Source organism: Homo sapiens, chromosome X (genome assembly GCF_000001405.40).
Source record: "Homo sapiens chromosome X, GRCh38.p14 Primary Assembly".
NCBI lineage: Eukaryota > Metazoa > Chordata > Mammalia > Primates > Hominidae > Homo > Homo sapiens.
Genome location: NC_000023.11, coordinates 93,552,386 through 93,559,639, shown reverse-complemented (window position 1 = coordinate 93,559,639; position 7,254 = coordinate 93,552,386). Strand labels below are relative to the sequence as shown.

The 7,254-nt window shown below is 36.5% G+C and overlaps 1 annotated feature.

The window, feature by feature from the left end:
• Positions 6,229–6,972: an enhancer, noted in NCBI's record as "NANOG hESC enhancer chrX:92807667-92808410 (GRCh37/hg19 assembly coordinates)". NCBI's record gives its function as "activates a minimal SCP1, AML or CMV promoter by ChIP-STARR-seq in naive H9 embryonic stem cells {active_cell/tissue: H9 hESC(naive)}" and the evidence as "EXISTENCE:reporter gene assay evidence [ECO:0000049][PMID:30033119]".

Sequence of the window (7,254 nt, the reverse complement as noted above, 5' to 3'; positions counted from 1 at the left end):
AGAATACTTTCCCTCCCCCGACTTTATAAGTTAGAAAATAGAAAGTAAAAGAAATTGTGTTTTGCCATGTCATATAGCTCACTGGTCCCACACAGACACAGAAACACTTTTCTTTTTTGGAATTTTTCATTTTTCTTAAGTGATAGATTCAGGGTGTACATGTGCAGGTTAGTTACATGAATGTTGTACAATGGTGAGGTTTGGGTTTCCAGCATATCTGCTCCCTGAATAGTGAATATTGTAGATGAAATTCACTAGATAATTTTTCAAACCTCATCTCCTTCCCACCCTCCCCCATTTTGGAGTCCAAACTGTTTATTATTGTTCTCTCTATGTCCATGTATACCCATTGTTTAGATCGCGCTTATGAGTGAGAATATGCAGTATATGATTTTCTATTTTTGAGTTATTTCACTTAGGTATATGACCTTGAACTCCATCCATGTTGCTGCAAAATACATTATTTTATTATTTTTTATGGCTGTGTGATATTCCAAATTGTATACATACCACTTTTACTTTATCCAGTTATCCATTGATGAAATACTCAGGTTGATTCCATGACTTTGCTATCGTGAATAGTGTTGTGATAAACATACAAGTGTAAGTGTCTTTTTGATATAATTATTTCTTTTTCTTTGGGTAAATATCCAGTAGTGGGATTGCTGGGTCAAATAATAGCTCTATTTTTAGTTCATTGAGACATTGCTATGCTGTTTTCCATAGAGGTTGTACTAATTTACCTTCCCACCAACAGTGTATAAGTGTTCACTTTTCTCAGTATCTTCAACAACACCTGACGTTTTTGACTTTTTTAGTAAGAGCCATTCTGACTAGTGTGAGATGGTATCTCATTGTGGTTTTGATTTGCATTTCTCTTATGATTAGTGATGTTGAGCATTTTTTATGCTTGTTGGCTGCTTGTCTGTCTTCTTTTGAAAAATGTCTGCTCATGTCCTCTGCCCAATTTTTAATGGGGCTATTTGCTTTTTTCTTGTTGATTTGTTTGAGTTCCTTATAGATTTGTTTGATGTAGGCGTTTAACACTATAAACTTTCCTCTTAGCACTGCTTTGGGTGTATCCAAGAGATTTTGTATATTATGATTCTATTTTAATTTGTCTCAAAATTGTTTTTGATTTCTGCCTTAATTTAGTTGTTTTTCTCAAAGTCATTTGGTAGCAAGTTTGTTTAGTTTTCATGTACTTGTGTGGTTTTGAGAGTTCCTCTTGATATTAATTTCTAATTGCATCCCACTGTAATATCAGAAGGTGCTTGATATGATTCCATTTTTTGAATTTATTAATACTTGATTCATGGCCAAGCATGTGGTCAGTTGTGGAGAATATCCCATGTGCAGATGAGAAAAAATGTATATTCTGCAATTGGTCAATAAGATGTTCTGTAAATGTCTATTAGGTCCATTTTGTCAACATTCCAGTTTAAGTCCAGAGTTTCCTTGTTAATTTTCTGCATTGATGATCTATCTAGTGCTGTCAGTGGGGTTTTGAAATCCCCCACTATTATTGTATTAAAGTCATTCTCATTTTTTTAGGTATAGTAGTGCTTGCTTTATAAATCTGGGTGTTCCAGTGTTGGGTGCATACATATTTAGGATAATGACATCTTCTTGATGAATTGAACTCTTTATAATTACATAATGCTCTTTTTATCTTTTTTTTTTTTTTTACTGTTGTTGGTTTCAAGTCTGTTATATCTGATATAAGAATAGCAACTCCTGTTGTATTTTGTTTTCCATTTGCATAATATATCTTTTTCCACCCTTTTACTTTGAGTCTGTATGTATCTTTTCACATAAGGTGGCTCTCTTTTAGTCAGCAAATGGTTGGGCCTTGTTTTTAAATCTAATTTGCCAATCTATATCTTTTAATTGGAGCATTTCAGCCATTTACATTAAAGTTAATATTGATATGTGAGGTTATGTTCTTGTCATAGTGTTGTTAGCTAGTTGCTTTGTAGTTTCAATTATGTAGTTGCCTTATTGGATTTGTGACCTTTGTACTTACATATGTTTTTATGGTGGTAAGTATTGTCCTTTCTTTTCCATGTTTAGAACTTCTTTGAGCATTTTTGTAGGGTTGGTCTAGTGGTGATGAATTCCCTTAGCATTTGTCTGATTAAAAATATTTTATTTCTCTTTCCTTTATGAAGCTTAGTTTGGCAGGATATGAAATTCTTGGCTGGCATTTTTTTTTTCTTTAAGAGGCCTAAAAATAGGCACTCAATTTCTTCTGGCTTATCAAGTTTCTTCTGAGATGTTCACTGTTAATATGATGGGATTTCCTTAATAGGTGATATGACATTTCTCTCTAGCTGCTTTTAAGATTTTTTTTTTTTAATTTCATGTTCATCTTAGATAGTCTGAGGAGTATATGCCCTGGTGATCATTATCTAGTGTAGTATCTTATAGTTGCTGTCTGAATTTATTGTATCTGGATGTCTACCTCTCTTGCAAGATCAAGAAAATGTTCTTGAATTACTCTCTCAAATATGTTTTACAAATTGCTTACTTTTTCTTCTCTCTCAGAATGCCTGTAAGTTGCAGGCTTGGTCACTTTACATAATCTTATGTTTCTCAAAGTCTTTGTCCATTTGTTTAAACTCTTTTTTCTTTCTTTTTTTTTTTTTTTCTGATTGGGTTTATTAAAAAGACTGGTCTTCCAGTGATGAAATTATTTCTTTTGCTTGGTCTAGTCTATTGCTTAAGCTTTCAACTGTATTTTGAAATTCCTTCAGCGAATTTTTCATTTCTAGTAGTTTTTTGTTTGTTTGTTTGCTTGCTTGCTTTTAATATATCTATCTTGTCTTTCATATCCTAAATTGTTTTTCTGGTTTCTTTGTATTGGTTTTCAACTAACTCTTGGATCTTCTTAAGCTCCCTTACAATCCATATTTTGAAATCTTGATCTGTCATTTGTGACTTTTCATTTTGGTTAGGATCCATTTCTAGAGAGCTAGTACAATCTTTTGTGAGTGTCAAAGCACTCTGTCTTTTTGTACTGTCAGAGTTCTTGTGCTGTTTACTTCCACCTGAAGAAGCCCTCTCTTTTTATTTTTTAATTTGCTATTGTTTGAATGGGACTTTTTAATTTTCTATTATTTTTCCCCTTGAGGGTGTGACTATAGTGTATATTGTGTATGATCATTTGGCTTCCTTACTGGGTACGTTAAGTGTGTTAAGGATCTGGGGTTCCTTGGTTATGGATAGCTTTTGTGCAGTGGCTTTCTTAAATGCTGCTTGTTGTAGTGGTGTATCGGGCATAAGGTCCAACAAACTATCTTCTGTGGGGCTAGCAGTGCAGAGGTCCCAGGAAGCTTATCTCATACACTAGAAATATGCCCTCTGACAGCAGAATGTTTTAGTTGGTGGTGCAGTTCAGTCTCTAGTCCATTGGGTGGCAATGAAAAGTAAGAGCTGGTTTGTTCTCCAGTAACCTGATGATGAGTGGAAGAACCTGCATGGACTAGGGTGATGGAGGGAATTCACTGGGGGCACACTGAGGTCTCAGGGAGAAGGGCATGAGGTGCTACACTAGCTTCTTGTCCTGGTCACCAGGAATGAGGTCTGCTTCTCTATCATGCCCCTCTCACAGGACTTGCTACCTTCAGCTCATATAGGCACTGTCCTTTGTCTCCCAGCAGCAATGTGACCGAGGTCTGCAAAAATGTCCCTCTGGTGGCTATCACTGAAATGGTCTCAGAGGAGAGCCTCTTCCCACAGTCCAGAGCAGACAGCTCTGTGGCTTGTCTGTACTATGTTGCTGGGACACTGATGCTCTGTGTAGAGGTGGGAGATGAACGCTGCCCTTCATGCAACATATGTGTTCACAATGTGCATAGACATTGTGAACAATGTCTATGTTCACCTTATGCCCTGTGTGGCATGGGCACACTTCCAGCACAGGTCTAGCCACCATAAGTAGTCCTGAAAAGGTTGTTTCCAGGTACACTCACAACGGTCCCCAGTGGGGAAGGCCTCTGCTGCATCCACAACAGTCGACAGGGGTAGCGGAAGCTTACCCCTTCTCCGCATCCATTTCTGGCCACTGGTGCTGGTCCCTTTGGAGAATGGTACCTCACCGCATTTCCCTTTTTCCAAAGGGCACTTTGATGGGCTGCACTCTCCCTTCTCATAGGGGCAGCCGATGCTGAATGCTAGATCTCCAGGGGATCCCACAGCTTCCCAGGGTCCTTCCAGTATCCTGTGGTTGCCAATGTCAGAGCAGTTTCTACTCTATAGGTAGCTACTGTATGTTCACCTTATCTTATGTAAAGTGCCAATTTACTGAGCAGGAGACAAATACATAATTGACTATTCCCCCACCTCCTCCTTTTCTCTTGCAACATGTGAATTACCGTACCCTCCCTTTTTCCCCTCTAGCCCATTTTTCCCCCTTAAATATTGAAGCCCTCAAATTCATCACAGACCACAGACTATTTCTGTGATTCTGTGTGTGTTTGTTTATTTCCTTCTGGGCATGTCCCAAGCCTTGGCAAAATAAACTTTGAATTGATTGAGACCTGTCTCAGATACCTTTTGGTTTACAAGAGTGTAATGTTGAAATCATGATTCCCACACACCGAAAGCACTTCATACTGCCTTTCTCTTCATACTGTGCTGTTGTGGGAAATGAATCTTTGAAAAATTGAAAACTTTATTTTATTTGCATTTTATAACTTCTAGTCCGGCTATGACCTTTAGATTTTTCAAAAGAATATGCATGAGAAAACTAGATGTTTTATCCATGTAGCAATCTCTCATCACCACGTACACACAGGTAATATTGATTTCAATATGAGAGAGTAGGAGACGGGTAAAATCAATCAGACCTGTTGAGGGCTTACTCTCAATGCGGCCTTTAAAAGAGTAGCTTGGATTTGTGATGTTGTTAGAAAAAGATGGACTATACAAATAGAACTGTAATTTTGAAACTAAAATCTATCACTTTGATGAAGGGATTAGGTTTGGGGGGCAAAAAGTGTCAGGAGACTGGGTAATATGACTTTTTTATATCAACTGAAGTCTTGATTATTAAAGTTGGGGTGTAAGGGTTGAAATGGAGGTCTCATCAATTTTTCCACCCAGTTTACTGACCTATTTTTATTTTTCGGTAAAGCTGTTTAAACACTACATAAGAAGATGGGAGAAGTCTATTTTCTCAACGAAACCTGAGGAAAAAAAAATGTAACATAGTCAACAAATAAGGCACTTAGATAATAAGATGGAGGGAGAGGTGCAATACCTTCAGGAGACTTTTCAGCTTTGACTGATGGGGCAAATTAAGGAAATTGTACTCTAACATATATTTACTGTATTCTGTGTATAAAGCTTTTATGCCTGTTATTCTGCAGTCTATTGTCATTAACATTGTATTTGGCTATCTACTATGAAACACCTGGCCTTTTTATTGAGCTTCACTACAGACTAGAAAAGGACAGGATAAATCTAATATGCCAAAAAGGAAAGCTTACAGATGATACACATCTAGGGTAAACCAGGAAGATTATGAGATTCAGCAGTTATAAAACAACAAGTAAAACCCTTTAAAGCATTATCACCACTCCTTGAAACCCCCACCCCTTTCTATCAGCTTAATCCACCACTGGAATATATAATGGTTAATGTTTATTTCTGCTCTTGGTCATTTCTTAAGACCTTTTAGAATTACCAAATTATTAAACAATAAAGAACTTATATCAAAACATCTCCAAGGGTAGGTCAAATAAACATTTCCCAGAGCATTTAAATCTATCTGAAGGAGTTAAGTTAACCACCAGTATGTCTGTCAGACCTCAAGGAAAACGATAAGTAAATCAAGTAATTCCATGAAATAGGAACTTTTACTTTGCCTTCTTGACCTTCCTCTTTGCTGTTTAAACCTTCTGCTCTTTAACAAAACTCAAAGAATGTGTGTGCAGCAAACATTCTTGTAAAGTTCTATTCAGTTGTATCAAGCAGGGATAATGAATTATGATTCTCCCAATAATAATGATGGTAAGTTAAAAAATGGGATGCAATTGGGTAAAATATTGCTGATCTTTAATACTTGGTTATTTCATAGATGCTATTATTAAATCATAGATATTCAGAATGCTTAAGAAAAATAACAAAAGACTTTATAAAAATAAAATTAAAAAGAGAAACCGTAATAGGGAATGTTTTATAAATCATATTTATATTTATTGGAATATAAAAAATGTGTTGTTTTGCACTGTAGTCTGGCAGTATTTAGTTACCTTTTGCTATTTAATGTTATTGAGGACTAAGCTCTGATTGTTTTATCTTGCCCAGACTCCTATCTAAGAGGTCTGGGGAGTCATGCCCTACAAACAGTGAATTCTCATCAGTTGAATTTTCTTTAACCCTATATATCGTGACCTACTTTCCAATCTGACTCTGGCATAACATTACATGACAAAGAAGAAAATAAAAATATTTTACCCCAAAACATGTTTCTTTTGGAAATGGCCCTGCAAAGCCGTCCTTTGTTGGGGAAAATTTGCATCTGTAAAGAATCTCTATTAACATAGCTAGATCTTTTTCTTCCAGGGCCTCCTAATCCTGAAGAGATTTACTGAGAGTCTAGCACTTTTTTAAAGGTCTGAATAGGAAATATTTGTCATCTATTGTCTCTAAGGGCAGCCACTGTGAGACTTCAAAAGAACCTTGGTCTCCACAATCTTTTTTCTTAATCTGAACATTTCCTTTCTATTAATCCCAGGTCTTTAGACAATCTCAAACAATTGTCAACCAGAAAATGTTTAAATTTACCTATAGCCTGGAAGCCCCCCGACCCAACCCACTTTAAATTGTCCCACCTTTCTGGACCACCTTAGGGCATCTCACGGGCCAGGTTCACCCATATTTGGCTCAGAATAAATCTCTTCAAATATTTTACAGAGTTTAATGTTTTTTGTCGACATTACGAACAAAAATGCCTTGCTTTATTATAATGATATACAAGTGTATTTGTGCTATGTTCACAATTCTGCAAAAAATACAGTGTGTCTTGTGTGTTTCTGTTGTTCTTAAAGTTTTAAATATGGAAGGAAAGAAATGGGGAGGTGGAATGATTCAGTTGCTACCTTCTGAAACTTGCACTAAACTTGAACAAAGGACAAACCACAGTTCTTGATTTCAGGCACAATACACTGACTCCCAGCCCACAACCAAAGGGGTGCTTTGGCATTCTGACTCTACCTAGCCTCCAAAATTGAGAAAGTAAACTTCTGT